Raw genomic sequence first — 23,051 nt, 5'->3', positions numbered from 1 at the left:
AAGAGATAGGAAGAAAGACAGCTGGGCCCGGGGGACCACTGCCACCAAAGCGCGGAGACAGACAGGTAGTGGCCCCGAGTGCCTGGAGGCGCTGCTATTTATTGTAGTCAAGGCAAGGGGGCAGGGTAAGGAGTGCCAGTCATCTCCAATGATCGATAGGTCACGCGAGTCACGTGTGCACTGGACAGGGGGCCTTTCCCTTTGTGGTAGCCGAGGTGGAGAGGGAGGTAAGGAAGGAGAAAGGGAAAGGTAAATGCTGAGCCCGCAGGCGGCAGTCTGTGCCTCGGAAAGGAACTTTATCCCAACCTTGCTGGGGGCCTTGACGCCCACCTTGCCCCAAGAGCACCCCGGCAGCCACCCCTGCCCTCTGGGGTCCTGCCACCCCGAGCCCGACCTTCCCCCTTTTCCCCCGCGCCGGGCCAATAGCCTCCTAACTGCGTCGTGCTCATCACCTTTGCGTCGTTTCTTCGCTCCACAAACGTTTACTGAGCGCCTTCCACACGCCAGGCGCCAGACTCGCGCGGGGAAACAGGGATAAGCACTGAGGAGGGGTCCCAGCCCTCAGCGATGGGATTTCAGAGCGGGAGATAAAGGGTTGCCCAGAAGGGTGGTGAGTGGAATGGCTGATATAAACAACGGGGGCGCGATGAAATACACAGGAGGGCTGCTAGTCACATATGGGGCGGGTGCCGAGGGCCCTTGACTAAGGGAGGCTTCCTGCACGGGTGACACCCAAGCGGAGTCCTGACGACCTGCGTCAGAAGTAGCCGGGCGAGGAGGAGGGGAAAGGAATCCACGTCCCGAGCAGAGAGGCAGCGTTCCCTACACAGCACAGGACACGGTCCGCGCACAGAAGCCGCAGGAGACGCAGGCACAGGGGCTGGGGAGAATCCTTGCTGGCCCTCGCCGCCTCCCTCTGCCGGGTGTCTGGTGCCAGCCTCCTGCCTGGCAGAGGAACTCCAGCCCCTGCTCCCGGAAGCCCCTCCACGTGCGGCTTCCCTGACTGGGCATGGGCCCCTCGTCCCTCGTCCCTCGGGTACGGGGCCGGGTCTGCCGCGGGCGGCGAAGTAAAGGCCCCAGCAGCCCGCGCTCCTCGCCTGGGGCCTCGTCTTTCTCCAGGAAAACGTGGACCGCTCTCCGCCGACAGGTCTCTTCCACAGACCCCTGTCGCCTTCGCCCCCGGTCTCTTCCGGTTCTGTCTTTTCGCTGGCTCGATACGAACAAGGAAGTCGCCCCCAGCGAGCCCCGGCTCCCCCAGGCAGAGGCGCGCCCGGGGGCGGAGTCAACGCGGAGCCACGCCCTCTGTGAAAGGGCGGGGCATGCAAATTCGAAATGAAAGCCCGGGAACGCCGGAAGAAGCACGGGTGTAAGATTTCCCTTTTCAAAGGCGGAGAATAAGAAATCAGCCCGAGAGTGTAAGGGCGTCAATAGCGCTGTGGACGAGACAGAGGGAATGGGGCAAGGAGCGAGGCTGGGGCTCTCACCGCGACTTGAATGTGGATGAGAGTGGGACGGTGACGGCGGGCGCGAAGGCGAGCGCATCGCTTCTCGGCCTTTTGGCTAAGATCAAGTGTAGTATCTGTTCTTATCAGTTTAATATCTGATACGTCCTCTATCCGAGGACAATATATTAAATGGATTTTTGGAGCAGGGAGATGGAATAGGAGCTTGCTCCGTCCACTCCACGCATCGACCTGGTATTGCAGTACCTCCAGGAACGGTGCACCCCCTCCGGGGATACAACGTGTTTCCTAAAAGTAGAGGGAGGTAAGAGACGGTAGCACCTGCGGGGCGGCTTGCACGCCGAGTGCCTGTGACGCGCCGGCTTGACTTAACTGCTTCCCTGAAGTACCTTGAGGTTCCTGATGTGCGGGCGGTAGACGGTAGGCTTATGCGGCACGCTTTCGTTTCCACCGTGGCTACTGCGCTTTGGGAAGGCCACGACCTCCTCCTTTGGGGAGGTCCTTAGGATCTCAGCTTGGCAGTCGAGTGGGTGGCGACCTTTTAAAGGAATGGGACCCACCCGGAGTTCTTCTTTCTCCTGTCTCTCTCTCTCTCTCTCTCTTTCTCTCTCTCTCTCTCTCTGTCTCTCCGTCTCTTGTGTCTGTCTCTGTCTCTCTGTCTCTCTCTCTGTCTCTCTCTCTCTCTCTCCTCTCTCTGTCTCTCTCTCTCTTTCCCTCTCTCTCTCTCTTTCCCCCCCCCGCCTCTCCCTCGCTCTTTTGGTTTCCCCCACCCCCTCCCAAGTTCTGGGGTACATGTGCAGGACGTGCAGGTTTGGAACATAGGTACACGTGTGCCACGGTGCTTTGCTGCACCTATCCACCAGTCGTCTAGGTTTGAAGCCCCGCATGCGTTGGCTATTTGTCCTAATGCTCTCTCTCCCCTTGCCCCCCACGCCCCGTCAGGGCCCGGCGTGTGATGTTCCCCTCCCTGTGTCCCATGTGTTCTCGCTGTTCAACTCCCACTTAGGAGCGAGAACATGCGGTGTTTGGTTTTCGCTTCCTGTGTCAGTTTGCTGAGAATGAGGCCTTCCAGCTTCATCCACGTTCCCGCAGAGGTCATGAACTCATCCTTTTTTATGGCTGCGTAGTAATTCCATGCTGTATACGTGCCACACTTTCTTTATCCAGCCTATCATTCATGGGCATTCGAGTTGGTTCCAAGTCTTTGCTATTGTAAATAGTGCTGCAGTAAACATACGTGTCCACGTGTCTTCCTAGTAGGAACTTCTTCCTCTTCAGCCCGCTGAGTAGCTGGCACTTTAAGGCAGGTGCCAACGCACCGGCAGCAAGCTTCCTTTTTTGCCCGGGAAAAACTGAGGTGCAGGTAGTATAAGCCATTGATCACGGAACGCACAGGAGCAGAGCTCGAGTCCAAGCATCGTGGCTCCACCCGTCATGCTGGATGCATCTTTAGGCTCCGCTCTAGGTATGTGTATCCTTTACGGGATCAGCCACCGGCAGTTGCCTTGCGAGCACGATGACAAACCTCTGCCGGCTCTTTTGGGTCTCATCCCTGTACCTATACGTTGCATCCCAACATAAAGACCGGAATGTTCCTTTCGCTGACCCAGTCTCTCACCCTTTCCAAACTCCAGAAATCTTGTCTGTCCTCGGAAGAACTCCCCCTGCTTCTTTCTCTAAAGGCTGTCTTCAGGCCGGGCACAGTGGGAGGATCGCTTGAGCCCAGAAGGCCGCAGTGAGGTGAGATCGCGCCATTGCACTGCAGCCCCCGGCGGCAGAGCCGGAGCCCCGTCTCGAAACAAACAAACAAAAACCAACCAACCAACCAACCAACCAACAAACAAACACAGACAAAGAAAGAAAGAGCCCAGGCAACCTAGTGAAAACCTGTTCGGGCTGGGGCGTACCTGTACCCCAGCTGTTCCGGAGGCTGAGGCAGGAGGATGGGTGGACGCTGGGAGGTGGATGCTGCAGTGAGCAGTGATTGCACCACTGCACTCCAGCCTGGGTGACAGAGCCAGACCCCGTCCCAAATAAATAAACATAAAAATAAAGGAACCAGTTTGTAGAAAGCGGGAGAGGGTCCCATTGAACTTCAAGCCTTCGAGCAACAGCTGTGGCTGGACAGGTTGGACCAGCAGGCTGGAGCAGTCGCCATCTTGGCAGGGATCATTGACCCTGATCTATCGTCGGGAGGAGGAAGAGCTGATCTTACGCAGGGAGGGCAGGTGGACTATGTGTGGACTCTGGTGACCTGTTTGGGTGCCAGGTGTTACTCCCAGGGCCACCCGTAACTGTGAATGTGCAGGAACCCTGACTTGAGAAGGGCCTGGCACGGGGGGCTTAGGCTCGGGGAATGAGAGTTTGGTTCCGGTACCCAGGGAAACCACCAGCATCGGCAGAGGTGATAGCTGAGGAGGAGCGGGGATTTGGACGAGAGACACAGGATGAGTACCCGGGGGGCAGCCCCGTGATCAACAACTGCTGCAAGAGGGGCCGTTTGTTCGACTCGCTAGTCTTCTGCGGCTCTATGCGGTACTAAAGAGCAGAAGACAGAAGATACAAAAACCACAAAAAGTAGCCCGGGCGTGGTGCTGCCCGTCAATAATCCCAGCTACTCGGGAGGCTGAGACAGGAGAATCGCTTGAACCCGGGAGGCGGAAGTTTCAGCGAGCCGAGATCACGCCGTTGCAGTCCAACCTGAGCGTCCGAGCGAGACTCTATCTCAGAAAATAAAGACAGAATGAAAGAGCCCGGCGCGGTGGCTTACGCCTGTAATCCCAGCGCTTTGGGAGGCCGAGGCGGGCGGATCGCCTGAGGTCAGGAGCTCGAGACCAGCCTGGCCGACATGGCGAAACCCCCTAAAAATACAAAAATTAGCCGGGCGTGGTGGCCTGCGCCTGTAATCCCAGCTACCCAGGAGGCTGAGGCAGGAGAATCGCTGGAACCCGGGAGGTAGAGGCTGCAGTGAGCCGAGATCGCGCCACTGCACTCCAGCCTGGGCGACAGAGCGAGAGTTTGTCTGGAAAAAAAAAAAAAAAAAGCCAGGGTGAGCGGTGGCTCAAGCCTGTAATCGCAAGCAACACTTTGGGAGGCGGCAGCTGGGCAGATCACCGGAGGTCGGGAGTTGGAGACCAGCCTGAGCAACGTGGAGAAACCCCATCTGTACTAAAAATACAAAGTTAGCCGGGCGTGGTGGCACATGCCTGTAGTCCCAGCTGCTCGGGAGGCTGAGGCAGGGGAATCGCTTGAACCCGGGAGGCGGAGGTTGCAGAGAGCCTAGATCGCGCCATTGGACTCCAGGCTGGGTAACAAGAGCGGAACCTCCGTCTGAAAAAAAAAAAAAAAAAAAAAAATTGGGAGAATTTTGCTCCCACTGCCGTCAAAATCCCACGTGTATTTCACACTTACAGCACAGCTCCATTAGAACTGACCACATTTCCAGGGCTCCCTAGATACCTGTGGCTAGCGGCTGCCATACTACACCGTGCTGGGCTGTAGAATGGGGATGACAAGACAGGGCGGCGGAGATTGTGTTGGCGTGAAGCGAGGGAAACACTCGGCCGCAGGACAAAACTAAAACAGCAAGGGGGCACCGAAAGACTCAGTAGTCCACGTGAATATCCTGATTATGTTGTAGCTGAGATAATGTAGGGTCCACCCCTACCGGGTCTGTGGGTTTTCTCTTCGCGTGTGTGCGGAGACGAGAGATCGAAGAGATAAAGACAGAAGACAAAGAGATAGGAAGAAAGGCAGCTGGGCCCGGGGGACCACTGCCACCAAAGCGCGGAGACAGACAGGTAGTGGCCCCGAGTGCCTGGAGGCGCTGCTATTTATTGTAGTCAAGGCAAGGGGGCAGGGTAAGGAGTGCCAGTCATCTCCAATGATCGATAGGTCACGCGAGTCACGTGTCCACTGGACAGGGGGCCTTTCCCTTTGTGGTAGCCGAGGTGGAGAGGGAGGACAGCAAACGTCAGCGTTTCTTCTATGCACTTATCAGAAAGATCGAAGACTGTGGTACTCCTACTAGTTCTGCTACTGCTGTCTTCTAAGAACTTAAAAGGAGGAGCCAGGTGTACAGGCTGAACATGAAAGTGAACAAGGAGCGTGACCACTGAAGCACAGCATCACAGGGAGACAGACGTTGGAGCCTCCGGATGACTGCGGGCCGGCCTGGCTAATGTCAGACCTCCCACAAGAGGTGGTGGAGCGGAGCGTTCTCTGTCTCCCCTGGAGAGAGGGAGATTCCCTTTCCGGGTCTGCTAAGTAACGGGTGCCTTCCCAGGCACTGGGGCCACCGCTAGACCAAGGCCTGCTAAGTAACCAGGGCCTTCCCAGGCACTGGCATTACCGCTAGGCCAAGGAGCCCTCCAGCGGCCCTTCTCTGGGCGTGAATGAGGGCTCACACTCTCGTCTTCTGGTCACCTCTCACTGTGGCCCTTCAGCTCCTAACTCTGTGTGGCCTGGTTTCCCCCAAGGTAATCATAATAGAACAGAGATCATTATGGTAATAGAACAAAGAGTGATGCTACAAACTAATGATTAATAATAGTCAGATATAATCCTATCCGTTTCCTATCTCTAGTAAAACTTTTCTTATTCTAATTATTTTCTTCGCTGTACTGGAACAGCTTGTGCCTTCAGGCTCTTGCCTGGGCACCTGGGTGGCTTGCGGCCCACAAGATAAGATACATTGCGTTGAACTATAATTTATGTTGATTGCTGAATGATTTAGGGCGGGGGGGTGGGCACCCCCTGAAATTCTGCCCTGGAGGAGTGGCCTCACCCTAACCCTGGCCATGGCTAATAATAAGGCCCACCTCTTAGGGCCGTGGAGTGAAATAAGTTTTCCAGGTAATGCGCAGTAGAGCCCTCAGCCCTCCGCTGAAGTTGCGTTAGGAAGGAGGAAGGGAGAGGTAAATGCTGAGCCCGCAGCGGCAGTCTGTGCCTCGGAGAGAAACTTTATCCCAACCTTGCTGGGGGCCTTGACGCCCACCTTGCCCCAAGAGCACCCGGCAGCCACCCCTGCCTCTGGGGTCCTGCCACCCCGAGCCCGACCTTCCCCTTTTCCCCGCGCCGGCCAATAGCCTCCTAACTGGCGTCGTGCTCATCACCTTTGCGTCGTTTCTTCGCTCCACAAACGTTTACTGAGCGCCTTCCACACGCCAGGCGCCAGACTCGCGCGGGGAAACAGGGATAAGCACTGAGGAGGGGTCCAGCCCTCAGCGATGGGATTTCAGAGCGGGAGATAAAGGGTTGCCCAGAAGGTGGTGAGTGGAATGGCTGATATAAACAACGGGGGCGCGATGAAATACACAGGAGGGCTGCTAGTCACATATGGGGCGGGTGCGAGGGCCCTTGACTAAGGGAGGCTTCCCTGCACGGGTGACACAAAGCGGAGTCCTGACGACCTGCGTCAGAAGTAGCCGGGCGAGGAGGAGGGGAAAGGAATCCACGTCCCGAGCAGAGAGGCAGCGTTCCCTACACAGCACAGGACACGGTCCGAGCACAGAAACCGCAGGAGACGCAAGCACAGGGGCTGGGGAGAATTCCTTATGAGCCCTCGCCGCCTCCCTCTGCCGGGTGTCTGGTGCCAGCATCCTGCCTGGCAGAGGAACTCCAGCCCCTGCTCCCGGAAGCCCCTCCAGACCTTAGGCTTCCCTGACTGGGCATGGGCCCCTCGTCCCCTCGTCCCCTCGGGTACGGGGCCGGTCTCCCCGCCCGCGGGCGGCGAAGTAAAGGCCCAGCGCAGCCCGCGCTCCTGCCCTGGGCCTCGTCTTTCTCCAGGAAAACGTGGACCGCTCTCCGCCGACAGGTCTCTTCCACAGACCCCTGTCGCCTTCGCCCCCGGTCTCTTCCGGTTCTGTCTTTTCGCTGGCTCGATACGAACAAGGAAGTCGCCCCCAGCGGAGCCCCGGCTCCCCCAGGCAGAGGCGGCCCCGGGGGCGGAGTCAACGGCGGAGGCCACGCCCTCTGTGAAAGGGCGGGGCATGCAAATTCGAAATGAAAGCCCGGGAACGCCGGAAGAAGCACGGGTGTAAGATTTCCCTTTTCAAAGGCGGAGAATAAGAAATCAGCCCGAGAGTGTAAGGGCGTCAATAGCGCTGTGGACGAGACAGAGGGAATGGGGCAAGGAGCGAGGCTGGGGCTCTCACCGCGACTTGAATGTGGATGAGAGTGGGACGGTGACGGCGGGCGCGAAGGCGAGCGCATCGCTTCTCGGCCTTTTGGCTAAGATCAAGTGTAGTATCTGTTCTTATCAGTTTAATATCTGATACGTCCTCTATCCGAGGACAATATATTAAATGGATTTTTGGAGCAGGGAGATGGAATAGGAGCTTGCTCCGTCCACTCCACGCATCGACCTGGTATTGCAGTACTTCCAGGAACGGTGCACCCCCTCCGGGGATACAACGTGTTTCCTAAAAGTAGAGGGAGGTAAGAGACGGTAGCACCTGCGGGGCGGCTTGCACGCCGAGTGCCTGTGACGCGCCGGCTTGACTTAACTGCTTCCCTGAAGTACCTTGAGGTTCCTGATGTGCGGGCGGTAGACGGTAGGCTTATGCGGCACGCTTTCGTTTCCACCGTGGCTACTGCGCTTTGGGAAGGCCACGACCTCCTCCTTTGGGGAGGTCCTTAGGATCTCAGCTTGGCAGTCGAGTGGGTGGCGACCTTTTAAAGGAATGGGACCCACCCGGAGTTCTTCTTTCTCCTGTCTCTCTCTCTCTCTCTCTCTTTCTCTCTCTCTCTCTCTCTGTCTCTCCGTCTCTCTGTGTCTGTCTCTGTCTCTCTGTCTCTCTCTCTGTCTCTCTCTCTCTCTCTCCTCTCTCTGTCTCTCTCTCTCTTTCCCTCTCTCTCTCTCTTCCCCCCCCCCGCCTCTCCCTCGCTCTTTTGGTTTCCCCCACCCCCTCCCAAGTTCTGGGGTACATGTGCAGGACGTGCAGGTTTGGAACATAGGTACACGTGTGCCACGGTGCTTTGCTGCACCTATCCACCAGTCGTCTAGGTTTGAAGCCCCGCATGCGTTGGCTATTTGTCCTAATGCTCTCTCTCCCCTTGCCCCCCACGCCCCGTCAGGGCCCGGCGTGTGATGTTCCCCTCCCTGTGTCCCATGTGTTCTCGCTGTTCAACTCCCACTTAGGAGCGAGAACATGCGGTGTTTGGTTTTCGCTTCCTGTGTCAGTTTGCTGAGAATGAGGCCTTCCAGCTTCATCCACGTTCCCGCAGAGGTCATGAACTCATCCTTTTTTATGGCTGCGTAGTAATTCCATGCTGTATACGTGCCACACTTTCTTTATCCAGCCTATCATTCATGGGCATTCGAGTTGGTTCCAAGTCTTTGCTATTGTAAATAGTGCTGCAGTAAACATACGTGTCCACGTGTCTTCCTAGTAGGAACTTCTTCCTCTTCAGCCCGCTGAGTAGCTGGCACTTTAAGGCAGGTGCCAACGCACCGGCAGCAAGCTTCCTTTTTTGCCCGGGAAAAACTGAGGTGCAGGTAGTATAAGCCATTGATCACGGAACGCACAGGAGCAGAGCTCGAGTCCAAGCATCGTGGCTCCACCCGTCATGCTGGATGCATCTTTAGGCTCCGCTCTAGGTATGTGTATCCTTTACGGGATCAGCCACCGGCAGTTGCCTTGCGAGCACGATGACAAACCTCTGCCGGCTCTTTTGGGTCTCATCCCTGTATCTATACGTTGCATCCCAACATAAAGACCGGAATGTTCCTTTCGCTGACCCAGTCTCTCACCCTTTCCAAACTCCAGAAATCTTGTCTGTCCTCGGAAGAACTCCCCCTGCTTCTTTCTCTAAAGGCTGTCTTCAGGCCGGGCACAGTGGGAGGATCGCTTGAGCCCAGAAGGCCGCAGTGAGGTGAGATCGCGCCATTGCACTGCAGCCCCCGGCGGCAGAGCCGGAGCCCCGTCTCGAAACAAACAAACAAAAACCAACCAACCAACCAACCAACCAACAAACAAACACAGACAAAGAAAGAAAGAGCCCAGGCAACCTAGTGAAAACCTGTTCGGGCTGGGGCGTACCTGTACCCCAGCTGTTCCGGAGGCTGAGGCCAGGAGGATGGGTGGACGCTGGGAGGTGGATGCTGCAGTGAGCAGTGATTGCACCACTGCACTCCAGCCTGGGTGACAGAGCCAGACCCCGTCCCAAATAAATAAACATAAAAATAAAGGAACCAGTTTGTAGAAAGCGGGAGAGGGTCCCATTGAACTTCAAGCCTTCGAGCAACAGCTGTGGCTGGACAGGTTGGACCAGCAGGCTGGAGCAGTCGCCATCTTGGCAGGGATCATTGACCCTGATCTATCGTCGGGAGGAGGAAGAGCTGATCTTACGCAGGGAGGGCAGGTGGACTATGTGTGGACTCTGGTGACCTGTTTGGGTGCCAGGTGTTACTCCCAGGGCCACCCGTAACTGTGAATGTGCAGGAACCCTGACTTGAGAAGGGCCTGGCCACGGGGGGCTTAGGCCCCTGGGGAATGAGAGTTTGGTTCCCGGTACCCAGGGAAACCACCAGCATCGGCAGAGGTGATAGCTGAGGAGGAGCGGGGATTTGGACGAGAGACACAGGATGAGTACCGGGGGGCAGCCCCGTGATCAACAACTGCTGCAAGAGGGGCCGTTTGTTCGACTCGCTAGTCTTCTGCGGCTCTATGCGGTACTAAAGAGCAGAAGACAGAAGATACAAAAACCACAAAAAGTAGCCGGGGCGTGGTGCTGCCCGTCAATAATCCCAGCTACTCGGGAGGCTGAGACAGGAGAATCGCTTGAACCCGGGAGGGCGGAAGTTTCAGCGAGCCGAGATCACGCCGTTGCAGTCCAACCTGAGCGTCCGAGCGAGACTCTATCTCAGAAAATAAAGACAGAATGAAAGAGCCCGGCGCGGTGGCTTACGCCTGTAATCCCAGCGCTTTGGGAGGCCGAGGCGGGCGGATCGCCTGAGGTCAGGAGCTCGAGACCAGCCTGGCCGACATGGCGAAACCCCCTAAAAATACAAAAATTAGCCGGGCGTGGTGGCCTGCGCCTGTAATCCCAGCTACCCAGGAGGCTGAGGCAGGAGAATCGCTGGAACCCGGGAGGTAGAGGCTGCAGTGAGCCGAGATCGCGCCACTGCACTCCAGCCTGGGCGACAGAGCGAGAGTTTGTCTGGAAAAAAAAAAAAAAAAGCCAGGGTGAGCGGTGGCTCAAGCCTGTAATCGCAAGCAACACTTTGGGAGGCGGCAGCTGGGCAGATCACCGGAGGTCGGGAGTTGGAGACCAGCCTGAGCAACGTGGAGAAACCCCATCTGTACTAAAAATACAAAGTTAGCCGGGCGTGGTGGCACATGCCTGTAGTCCCAGCTGCTCGGGAGGCTGAGGCAGGGGAATCGCTTGAACCCGGGAGGCGGAGGTTGCAGAGAGCCTAGATCGCGCCATTGGACTCCAGGCTGGGTAACAAGAGCGGAACCTCCGTCTGAAAAAAAAAAAAAAAAAAAAAAAAAATTGGGAGAATTTTGCTCCCACTGCCGTCAAAATCCCATGTGTATTTCACACTTAACAGCGCAGCTCCATTAGAACTGACCACATTTCCAGGGCTCCCTAGATACCTGTGGCTAGCGGCTGCCATACTACACCGTGCTGGGCTGTAGAATGGGGATGACAAGACAGGGCGGCGGAGATTGTGTTGGCGTGAAGCGAGGGAAACACTCGGCCGCAGGACAAAACTAAAACAGCAAGGGGGCACCGAAAGACTCAGTAGTCCACGTGAATATCCTGATTATGTTGTAGCTGAGATAATGTAGGGTCCACCCCTACCGGGTCTGTGGGTTTTCTCTTCGCGTGTGTGCGGAGACGAGAGATCGAAGAGATAAAGACAGAAGACAAAGAGATAGGAAGAAAGACAGCTGGGCCCGGGGGACCACTGCCACCAAAGCGCGGAGACAGACAGGTAGTGGCCCCGAGTGCCTGGAGGCGCTGCTATTTATTGTAGTCAAGGCAAGGGGGCAGGGTAAGGAGTGCCAGTCATCTCCAATGATCGATAGGTCACGCGAGTCACGTGTCCACTGGACAGGGGGCCTTTCCCTTTGTGGTAGCCGAGGTGGAGAGGGAGGACAGCAAACGTCAGCGTTTCTTCTATGCACTTATCAGAAAGATCGAAGACTGTGGTACTCCTACTAGTTCTGCTACTGCTGTCTTCTAAGAACTTAAAAGGAGGAGCCAGGTGTACAGGCTGAACATGAAAGTGAACAAGGAGCGTGACCACTGAAGCACAGCATCACAGGGAGACAGACGTTGGAGCCTCCGGATGACTGCGGGCCGGCCTGGCTAATGTCAGACCTCCCACAAGAGGTGGTGGAGCGGAGCGTTCTCTGTCTCCCCTGGAGAGAGGGAGATTCCCTTTCCGGGTCTGCTAAGTAACGGGTGCCTTCCCAGGCACTGGGGCCACCGCTAGACCAAGGCCTGCTAAGTAACCAGGGCCTTCCCAGGCACTGGCATTACCGCTAGGCCAAGGAGCCCTCCAGCGGCCCTTCTCTGGGCGTGAATGAGGGCTCACACTCTCGTCTTCTGGTCACCTCTCACTGTGGCCCTTCAGCTCCTAACTCTGTGTGGCCTGGTTTCCCCCAAGGTAATCATAATAGAACAGAGATCATTATGGTAATAGAACAAAGAGTGATGCTACAAACTAATGATTAATAATAGTCAGATATAATCCTATCCGTTTCCTATCTCTAGTAAAACTTTTCTTATTCTAATTATTTTCTTCGCTGTACTGGAACAGCTTGTGCCTTCAGGCTCTTGCCTGGGCACCTGGGTGGCTTGCGGCCCACAAGATAAGATACATTGCGTTGAACTATAATTTATGTTGATTGCTGAATGATTTAGGGCGGGGGGGTGGGCACCCCCTGAAATTCTGCCCTGGAGGAGTGGCCTCACCCTAACCCTGGCCGTGGCTAATAATAAGGCCCACCTCTTAGGGCCGTGGAGTGAAATAAGTTTTCCAGGTAATGCGCAGTAGAGCCCTCAGCCCTCCGCTGAAGTTGCGTTAGGAAGGAGGAAGGGAGAGGTAAATGCTGAGCCCGCAGGCGGCAGTCTGTGCCTCGGAGAGAAACTTTATCCCAACCTTGCTGGGGGCCTTGACGCCCACCTTGCCCCAAGAGCACCCCGGCAGCCACCCCTGCCCTCTGGGGTCCTGCCACCCCGAGCCCGACCTTCCCCCTTTTCCCCCGCGCCGGGCCAATAGCCTCCTAACTGCGTCGTGCTCATCACCTTTGCGTCGTTTCTTCGCTCCACAAACGTTTACTGAGCGCCTTCCACACGCCAGGCGCCAGACTCGCGCGGGGAAACAGGGATAAGCACTGAGGAGGGGTCCCAGCCCTCAGCGATGGGATTTCAGAGCGGGAGATAAAGGGTTGCCCAGAAGGGTGGTGAGTGGAATGGCTGATATAAACAACGGGGGCGCGATGAAATACACAGGAGGGCTGCTAGTCACATATGGGGCAGGTGCCGAGGGCCCTTGACTAAGGGAGGCTTCCTGCACGGGTGACACCCAAGCGGAGTCCTGACGACCTGCGTCAGAAGTAGCCGGGCGAGGAGGAGGGGAAAGGAATCCACGTCCCGAGCAGAGAGGCAGCGTTCCCTACACAGCACAGGACACGGTCCGCGCACAGAAGCCGCAGGAGACGCAGGCACAGGGGCTGGGGAGAATCCTTGCTGGGCCCTCGCCGCCTCCCTCTGCCGGGTGTCTGGTGCCAGCCTCCTGCCTGGCAGAGGAACTCCAGCCCCTGCTCCCGGAAGCCCCTCCAGGCCTTCGGCTTCCCTGACTGGGCATGGGCCCCTCGTCCCCTCGTCCCCTCGGGTACGGGGCCGGTCTCCCCGCCCGCGGGCGGCGAAGTAAAGGCCCAGCGCAGCCCGCGCTCCTGCCCTGGGGCCTCGTCTTTCTCCAGGAAAACGTGGACCGCTCTCCGCCGACAGGTCTCTTCCACAGACCCCTGTCGCCTTCGCCCCCGGTCTCTTCCGGTTCTGTCTTTTCGCTGGCTCGATACGAACAAGGAAGTCGCCCCCAGCGGAGCCCCGGCTCCCCCAGGCAGAGGCGGCCCCGGGGGCGGAGTCAACGGCGGAGGCCACGCCCTCTGTGAAAGGGCGGGGCATGCAAATTCGAAATGAAAGCCCGGGAACGCCGGAAGAAGCACGGGTGTAAGATTTCCCTTTTCAAAGGCGGAGAATAAGAAATCAGCCCGAGAGTGTAAGGGCGTCAATAGCGCTGTGGACGAGACAGAGGGAATGGGGCAAGGAGCGAGGCTGGGGCTCTCACCGCGACTTGAATGTGGATGAGAGTGGGACGGTGACGGCGGGCGCGAAGGCGAGCGCATCGCTTCTCGGCCTTTTGGCTAAGATCAAGTGTAGTATCTGTTCTTATCAGTTTAATATCTGATACGTCCTCTATCCGAGGACAATATATTAAATGGATTTTTGGAGCAGGGAGATGGAATAGGAGCTTGCTCCGTCCACTCCACGCATCGACCTGGTATTGCAGTACCTCCAGGAACGGTGCACCCCCTCCGGGGATACAACGTGTTTCCTAAAAGTAGAGGGAGGTAAGAGACGGTAGCACCTGCGGGGCGGCTTGCACGCCGAGTGCCTGTGACGCGCCGGCTTGACTTAACTGCTTCCCTGAAGTACCTTGAGGTTCCTGATGTGCGGGCGGTAGACGGTAGGCTTATGCGGCACGCTTTCGTTTCCACCGTGGCTACTGCGCTTTGGGAAGGCCACGACCTCCTCCTTTGGGGAGGTCCTTAGGATCTCAGCTTGGCAGTCGAGTGGGTGGCGACCTTTTAAAGGAATGGGACCCACCCGGAGTTCTTCTTTCTCCTGTCTCTCTCTCTCTCTCTCTCTCTTTCTCTCTCTCTCTCTCTGTCTCTCCGTCTCTCTGTGTCTGTCTCTGTCTCTCTGTCTCTCTCTCTGTCTCTCTCTCTCTCTCTCTCTCTCTCTCTCCTCTCTCTGTCTCTCTCTCTCTTTCCCTCTCTCTCTCTCTTCCCCCCCCCCGCCTCTCCCTCGCTCTTTTGGTTTCCCCCACCCCCTCCCAAGTTCTGGGGTACATGTGCAGGACGTGCAGGTTTGGAACATAGGTACACGTGTGCCACGGTGCTTTGCTGCACCTATCCACCAGTCGTCTAGGTTTGAAGCCCCGCATGCGTTGGCTATTTGTCCTAATGCTCTCTCTCCCCTTGCCCCCCACGCCCCGTCAGGGCCCGGCGTGTGATGTTCCCCTCCCTGTGTCCCATGTGTTCTCGCTGTTCAACTCCCACTTAGGAGCGAGAACATGCGGTGTTTGGTTTTCGCTTCCTGTGTCAGTTTGCTGAGAATGAGGCCTTCCAGCTTCATCCACGTTCCCGCAGAGGTCATGAACTCATCCTTTTTTATGGCTGCGTAGTAATTCCATGCTGTATACGTGCCACACTTTCTTTATCCAGCCTATCATTCATGGGCATTCGAGTTGGTTCCAAGTCTTTGCTATTGTAAATAGTGCTGCAGTAAACATACGTGTCCACGTGTCTTCCTAGTAGGAACTTCTTCCTCTTCAGCCCGCTGAGTAGCTGGCACTTTAAGGCAGGTGCCAACGCACCGGCAGCAAGCTTCCTTTTTTGCCCGGGAAAAACTGAGGTGCAGGTAGTATAAGCCATTGATCACGGAACGCACAGGAGCAGAGCTCGAGTCCAAGCATCGTGGCTCCACCCGTCATGCTGGATGCATCTTTAGGCTCCGCTCTAGGTATGTGTATCCTTTACGGGATCAGCCACCGGCAGTTGCCTTGCGAGCACGATGACAAACCTCTGCCGGCTCTTTTGGGTCTCATCCCTGTATCTATACGTTGCATCCCAACATAAAGACCGGAATGTTCCTTTCGCTGACCCAGTCTCTCACCCTTTCCAAACTCCAGAAATCTTGTCTGTCCTCGGAAGAACTCCCCCTGCTTCTTTCTCTAAAGGCTGTCTTCAGGCCGGGCACAGTGGGAGGATCGCTTGAGCCCAGAAGGCCGCAGTGAGGTGAGATCGCGCCATTGCACTGCAGCCCCCGGCGGCAGAGCCGGAGCCCCGTCTCGAAACAAACAAACAAAAACCAACCAACCAACCAACCAACCAACAAACAAACACAGACAAAGAAAGAAAGAGCCCAGGCAACCTAGTGAAAACCTGTTCGGGCTGGGGCATACCTGTACCCCAGCTGTTCCGGAGGCTGAGGCCAGGAGGATGGGTGGACGCTGGGAGGTGGATGCTGCAGTGAGCAGTGATTGCACCACTGCACTCCAGCCTGGGTGACAGAGCCAGACCCCGTCCCAAATAAATAAACATAAAAATAAAGGAACCAGTTTGTAGAAAGCGGGAGAGGGTCCCATTGAACTTCAAGCCTTCGAGCAACAGCTGTGGCTGGACAGGTTGGACCAGCAGGCTGGAGCAGTCGCCATCTTGGCAGGGATCATTGACCCTGATCTATCGTCGGGAGGAGGAAGAGCTGATCTTACGCAGGGAGGGCAGGTGGACTATGTGTGGACTCTGGTGACCTGTTTGGGTGCCAGGTGTTACTCCCAGGGCCACCCGTAACTGTGAATGTGCAGGAACCCTGACTTGAGAAGGGCCTGGCCACGGGGGGCTTAGGCCCCTGGGGAATGAGAGTTTGGTTCCCGGTACCCAGGGAAACCACCAGCATCGGCAGAGGTGATAGCTGAGGAGGAGCGGGGATTTGGACGAGAGACACAGGATGAGTACCGGGGGGCAGCCCCGTGATCAACAACTGCTGCAAGAGGGGCCGTTTGTTCGACTCGCTAGTCTTCTGCGGCTCTATGCGGTACTAAAGAGCAGAAGACAGAAGATACAAAAACCACAAAAAGTAGCCGGGCGTGGTGCTGCCCGTCAATAATCCCAGCTACTCGGGAGGCTGAGACAGGAGAATCGCTTGAACCCGGGAGGCGGAAGTTTCAGCGAGCCGAGATCACGCCGTTGCAGTCCAACCTGAGCGTCCGAGCGAGACTCTATCTCAGAAAATAAAGACAGAATGAAAGAGCCCGGCGCGGTGGCTTACGCCTGTAATCCCAGCGCTTTGGGAGGCCGAGGCGGGCGGATCGCCTGAGGTCAGGAGCTCGAGACCAGCCTGGCCGACATGGCGAAACCCCCTAAAAATACAAAAATTAGCCGGGCGTGGTGGCCTGCGCCTGTAATCCCAGCTACCCAGGAGGCTGAGGCAGGAGAATCGCTGGAACCCGGGAGGTAGAGGCTGCAGTGAGCCGAGATCGCGCCACTGCACTCCAGCCTGGGCGACAGAGCGAGAGTTTGTCTGGAAAAAAAAAAAAAAAAAGCCAGGGTGAGCGGTGGCTCAAGCCTGTAATCGCAAGCAACACTTTGGGAGGCGGCAGCTGGGCAGATCACCGGAGGTCGGGAGTTGGAGACCAGCCTGAGCAACGTGGAGAAACCCCATCTGTACTAAAAATACAAAGTTAGCCGGGCGTGGTGGCACATGCCTGTAGTCCCAGCTGCTCGGGAGGCTGAGGCAGGGGAATCGCTTGAACCCGGGAGGCGGAGGTTGCAGAGAGCCTAGATCGCGCCATTGGACTCCAGGCTGGGTAACAAGAGCGGAACCTCCGTCTGAAAAAAAAAAAAAAAAAAAAAAAATTGGGAGAATTTTGCTCCCACTGCCGTCAAAATCCCACGTGTATTTCACACTTACAGCACAGCTCCATTAGAACTGACCACATTTCCAGGGCTCCCTAGATACCTGTGGCTAGCGGCTGCCATACTACACCGTGCTGGGCTGTAGAATGGGGATGACAAGACAGGGCGGCGGAGATTGTGTTGGCGTGAAGCGAGGGAAACACTCGGCCGCAGGACAAAACTAAAACAGCAAGGGGGCACCGAAAGACTCAGTAGTCCACGTGAATATCCTGATTATGTTGTAGCTGAGATAATGTAGGGTCCACCCCTACCGGGTCTGTGGGTTTTCTCTTCGCGTGTGTGCGGAGACGAGAGATCGAAGAGATAAAGACAGAAGACAAAGAGATAGGAAGAAAGACAGCTGGGCCCGGGGGACCACTGCCACCAAAGCGCGGAGACAGACAGGTAGTGGCCCCGAGTGCCTGGAGGCGCTGCTATTTATTGTAGTCAAGGCAAGGGGGCAGGGTAAGGAGTGCCAGTCATCTCCAATGATCGATAGGTCACGCGAGTCACGTGTCCACTGGACAGGGGGCCTTTCCCTTTGTGGTAGCCGAGGTGGAGAGGGAGGACAGCAAACGTCAGCGTTTCTTCTATGCACTTATCAGAAAGATCGAAAGACTGTGGTACTCCTACTAGTTCTGCTACTGCTGTCTTCTAAGAACTTAAAAGGAGGAGCCAGGTGTACAGGCTGAACATGAAAGTGAACAAGGAGCGTGACCACTGAAGCACAGCATCACAGGGAGACAGACGTTGGAGCCTCCGGATGACTGCGGGCCGGCCTGGCTAATGTCAGACCTCCCACAAGAGGTGGTGGAGCGGAGCGTTCTCTGTCTCCCCTGGAGAGAGGGAGATTCCCTTTCCGGGTCTGCTAAGTAACGGGTGCCTTCCCAGGCACTGGGGCCACCGCTAGACCAAGGCCTGCTAAGTAACCAGGGCCTTCCCAGGCACTGGCATTACCGCTAGGCCAAGGAGCCCTCCAGCGGCCCTTCTCTGGGCGTGAATGAGGGCTCACACTCTCGTCTTCTGGTCACCTCTCACTGTGGCCCTTCAGCTCCTAACTCTGTGTGGCCTGGTTTCCCCCAAGGTAATCATAATAGAACAGAGATCATTATGGTAATAGAACAAAGAGTGATGCTACAAACTAATGATTAATAATAGTCAGATATAATCCTATCCGTTTCCTATCTCTAGTAAAACTTTTCTTATTCTAATTATTTTCTTCGCTGTACTGGAACAGCTTGTGCCTTCAGGCTCTTGCCTGGGCACCTGGGTGGCTTGCGGCCCACAAGATAAGATACATTGCGTTGAACTATAATTTATGTTGATTGCTGAATGATTTAGGGCGGGGGGTTGGGCACCCCCTGAAATTCTGCCCTGGAGGAGTGGCCTCACCCTAACCCTGGCCGTGGCTAATAATAAGGCCCACCTCTTAGGGCCGTGGAGTGAAATAAGTTTTCCAGGTAATGCGCAGTAGAGCCCTCAGCCCTCCGCTGAAGTTGCGTTAGGAAGGAGGAAGGGAGAGGTAAATGCTGAGCCCGCAGGCGGCAGTCTGTGCCTCGGAGAGAAACTTTATCCCAACCTTGCTGGGGGCCTTGACGCCCACCTTGCCCCAAGAGCACCCCGGCAGCCACCCCTGCCCTCTGGGGTCCTGCCACCCCGAGCCCGACCTTCCCCCTTTTCCCCCGCGCCGGGCCAATAGCCTCCTAACTGCGTCGTGCTCATCACCTTTGCGTCGTTTCTTCGCTCCACAAACGTTTACTGAGCGCCTTCCACACGCCAGGCGCCAGACTCGCGCGGGGAAACAGGGATAAGCACTGAGGAGGGGTCCCAGCCCTCAGCGATGGGATTTCAGAGCGGGAGATAAAGGGTTGCCCAGAAGGGTGGTGAGTGGAATGGCTGATATAAACAACGGGGGCGCGATGAAATACACAGGAGGGCTGCTAGTCACATATGGGGCGGGTGCCGAGGGCCCTTGACTAAGGGAGGCTTCCTGCACGGGTGACACCCAAGCGGAGTCCTGACGACCTGCGTCAGAAGTAGCCGGGCGAGGAGGAGGGGAAAGGAATCCACGTCCCGAGCAGAGAGGCAGCGTTCCCTACACAGCACAGGACACGGTCCGCGCACAGAAGCCGCAGGAGACGCAGGCACAGGGGCTGGGGAGAATCCTTGCTGGGCCCTCGCCGCCTCCCTCTGCCGGGTGTCTGGTGCCAGCCTCCTGCCTGGCAGAGGAACTCCAGCCCCTGCTCCCGGAAGCCCCTCCAGGCCTTCGGCTTCCCTGACTGGGCATGGGCCCCTCGTCCCCTCGTCCCCTCGGGTACGGGGCCGGTCTCCCCGCCCGCGGGCGGCGAAGTAAAGGCCCAGCGCAGCCCGCGCTCCTGCCCTGGGGCCTCGTCTTTCTCCAGGAAAACGTGGACCGCTCTCCGCCGACAGGTCTCTTCCACAGACCCCTGTCGCCTTCGCCCCCGGTCTCTTCCGGTTCTGTCTTTTCGCTGGCTCGATACGAACAAGGAAGTCGCCCCCAGCGGAGCCCCGGCTCCCCCAGGCAGAGGCGGCCCCGGGGGCGGAGTCAACGGCGGAGGCCACGCCCTCTGTGAAAGGGCGGGGCATGCAAATTCGAAATGAAAGCCCGGGAACGCCGGAAGAAGCACGGGTGTAAGATTTCCCTTTTCAAAGGCGGAGAATAAGAAATCAGCCCGAGAGTGTAAGGGCGTCAATAGCGCTGTGGACGAGACAGAGGGAATGGGGCAAGGAGCGAGGCTGGGGCTCTCACCGCGACTTGAATGTGGATGAGAGTGGGACGGTGACGGCGGGCGCGAAGGCGAGCGCATCGCTTCTCGGCCTTTTGGCTAAGATCAAGTGTAGTATCTGTTCTTATCAGTTTAATATCTGATACGTCCTCTATCCGAGGACAATATATTAAATGGATTTTTGGAGCAGGGAGATGGAATAGGAGCTTGCTCCGTCCACTCCACGCATCGACCTGGTATTGCAGTACCTCCAGGAACGGTGCACCCCCTCCGGGGATACAACGTGTTTCCTAAAAGTAGAGGGAGGTAAGAGACGGTAGCACCTGCGGGGCGGCTTGCACGCCGAGTGCCTGTGACGCGCCGGCTTGACTTAACTGCTTCCCTGAAGTACCTTGAGGTTCCTGATGTGCGGGCGGTAGACGGTAGGCTTATGCGGCACGCTTTCGTTTCCACCGTGGCTACTGCGCTTTGGGAAGGCCACGACCTCCTCCTTTGGGGAGGTCCTTAGGATCTCAGCTTGGCAGTCGAGTGGGTGGCGACCTTTTAAAGGAATGGGACCCACCCGGAGTTCTTCTTTCTCCTGTCTCTCTCTCTCTCTCTCTCTCTCTCTGTCTCTCCGTCTCTCTGTGTCTGTCTCTGTCTCTCTGTCTCTCTCTCTGTCTCTCTCTCTCTCTCTCTCTCTCTCTCTCTCTCTCCTCTCTCCTGTCTCTCTCTCTCTTTCCCTCTCTCCCTCTCTTTCCCCCCCCCCCGCCTCTCCCTCGCTCTTTTGGTTTCCCCCACCCCCTCCCAAGTTCTGGGGTACATGTGCAGGACGTGCAGGTTTGGAACATAGGTACACGTGTGCCACGGTGCTTTGCTGCACCTATCCACCAGTCGTCTAGGTTTGAAGCCCCGCATGCGTTGGCTATTTGTCCTAATGCTCTCTCTCCCCTTGCCCCCCACGCCCCGTCAGGGCCCGGCGTGTGATGTTCCCCTCCCTGTGTCCCATGTGTTCTCGCTGTTCAACTCCCACTTAGGAGCGAGAACATGCGGTGTTTGGTTTTCGCTTCCTGTGTCAGTTTGCTGAGAATGAGGCCTTTTCAGCGAGCCGAGATCACGCCGTTGCAGTCCAACCTGAGCGGCCGAGCGAGACTCGATCTCAGAAAATAAAGACAGAATGAAAGAGCCCGGCGCGGTGGCTTACGCCTGTAATCCCAGCGCTTTGGGAGGCCGAGGCGGGCGGATCGCCTGAGGTCAGGAGCTCGAGACCAGCCTGGCCGACATGGCGAAACCCCCTAAAAATACAAAAATTAGCCGGGCGTGGTGGCCTGCGCCTGTAATCCCAGCTACCCAGGAGGCTGAGGCAGGAGAATCGCTGGAACCCGGGAGGTAGAGGCTGCAGTGAGCCGAGATCGCGCCACTGCACTCCCAGCCTGGGCGACAGAGCGAGAGTTTGTTTGGAAAAAAAAAAAAAAAAAAGCCAGGGTGAGCGGTGGCTCAAGCCTGTAATCGCAAGCAACACTTTGGGAGGCGGCAGCTGGGCAGATCACCGGAGGTCGGGAGTTGGAGACCAGCCTGAGCAACGTGGAGAAACCCCATCTGTACTAAAAATACAAAGTTAGCCGGGCGTGGTGGCACATGCCTGTAGTCCCAGCTGCTCGGGAGGCTGAGGCAGGGGAATCGCTTGAACCCGGGAGGCGGAGGTTGCAGAGAGCCTAGATCGCGCCATTGGACTCCAGGCTGGGTAACAAGAGCGGAACCTCCGTCTGAAAAAAAAAAAAAAAAAAAAAAAAATTGGGAGAATTTTGCTCCCACTGCCGTCAAAATCCCATGTGTATTTCACACTTAACAGCGCAGCTCCATTAGAACTGACCACATTTCCAGGGCTCCCTAGATACCTGTGGCTAGCGGCTGCCATACTACACCGTGCTGGGCTGTAGAATGGGGATGACAAGACAGGGCGGCGGAGATTGTGTTGGCGTGAAGCGAGGGAAACACTCGGCCGCAGGACAAAACTAAAACAGCAAGGGGGCACCGAAAGACTCAGTAGTCCACGTGAATATCCTGATTATGTTGTAGCTGAGATAATGTAGGGTCCACCCCTACCGGGTCTGTGGGTTTTCTCTTCGCGTGTGTGCGGAGACGAGAGATCGAAGAGATAAAGACAGAAGACAAAGAGATAGGAAGAAAGACAGCTGGGCCCGGGGGACCACTGCCACCAAAGCGCGGAGACAGACAGGTAGTGGCCCCGAGTGCCTGGAGGCGCTGCTATTTATTGTAGTCAAGGCAAGGGGGCAGGGTAAGGAGTGCCAGTCATCTCCAATGATCGATAGGTCACGCGAGTCACGTGTCCACTGGACAGGGGGCCTTTCCCTTTGTGGTAGCCGAGGTGGAGAGGGAGGACAGCAAACGTCATTATATAATTTAATTTAGTTTTTACAATGTTATTTTGGCCGGGCATGGTGGTTAAAGTTAATCCAGCACTTTGGGAGGCCAAGGTGGGTGGATCAGAGGAGGTCAGGAGTTCAAGACCAGCCTGGCCAACATGGCGAAACCTGGTCTCTACTAAAAGTACAAAAAGTAGCTAGGCATGGTGGCGCTTGCCTGGAATTCCAGCTACCTGGGGAGACTGAGGCATGAGAATCACTTGAATCAGTGAGGTGGAGGTTGCAGTGAGCCAAGATAGTGCCACTGCACTCTGACCTGAGTGATAGAGTGAGACTCTTGTCTCAAAAAAAAATTAAAAACTTTATTTGATTTTATTATTGTAATACAGACAGGGTCTCACTATGTTGCCCTGGCTGGTCTGGAACTCCTGGACTCAAGCAATCCTCCCACCTAAGTCTCCCAAAATGTTGACAAGTGTGAACCACCATGCCTGGCCTTTAATTAATTAATTCACTTATTTATTTTATTTTATTTTTTTGAGATGGAGTCTTGCTCCAGTCTTGCTCCCAGCCGGGCACAGTGGCTCACACTCTGTCTCTCCTGGAGAGAGGGAGATTCCCTTTCCGGGTCTGCTAAGTAACGGGTGCCTTCCCAGGCACTGGGGCCACCGCTAGACCAAGGCCTGCTAAGTAACCAGGGCCTTCCCAGGCACTGGCATTACCGCTAGGCCAAGGAGCCCTCCAGCGGCCCTTCTCTGGGCGTGAATGAGGGCTCAC

The 23,051-nt window shown here is 56.5% G+C and overlaps 4 non-coding genes across 4 annotated transcripts; all 4 read left to right on the top strand.

Moving 5' to 3' along the window:
- The first annotated feature begins 1,540 nt into the window (after nucleotides 1–1,540).
- Nucleotides 1,541–1,731, top strand: LOC124904143 (U2 spliceosomal RNA). The gene has a single exon (XR_007066016.1). It is a non-coding gene; the product is annotated as a U2 spliceosomal RNA (small nuclear RNA).
- Nucleotides 1,732–7,674: 5,943 nt separating this feature from the next.
- On the top strand, nucleotides 7,675–7,865 carry LOC124904145 (U2 spliceosomal RNA). The gene has a single exon (XR_007066018.1). It is a non-coding gene; the product is annotated as a U2 spliceosomal RNA (small nuclear RNA).
- Nucleotides 7,866–13,826: 5,961 nt separating this feature from the next.
- On the top strand, nucleotides 13,827–14,017 carry LOC124904142 (U2 spliceosomal RNA). The gene has a single exon (XR_007066015.1). It is a non-coding gene; the product is annotated as a U2 spliceosomal RNA (small nuclear RNA).
- Nucleotides 14,018–19,987: 5,970 nt separating this feature from the next.
- On the top strand, nucleotides 19,988–20,178 carry LOC124904141 (U2 spliceosomal RNA). Its single transcript, XR_007066014.1, has one exon. It is a non-coding gene; the product is annotated as a U2 spliceosomal RNA (small nuclear RNA).
- Nucleotides 20,179–23,051: the final 2,873 nt, after the last annotated feature.

This window comes from Homo sapiens, chromosome 17, assembly GCF_000001405.40.
Source record: "Homo sapiens chromosome 17, GRCh38.p14 Primary Assembly".
NCBI lineage: Eukaryota > Metazoa > Chordata > Mammalia > Primates > Hominidae > Homo > Homo sapiens.
The sequence above is the reverse complement of the archived record's forward strand: the minus strand, read 5'-3'. Positions and strand labels throughout refer to the sequence as shown.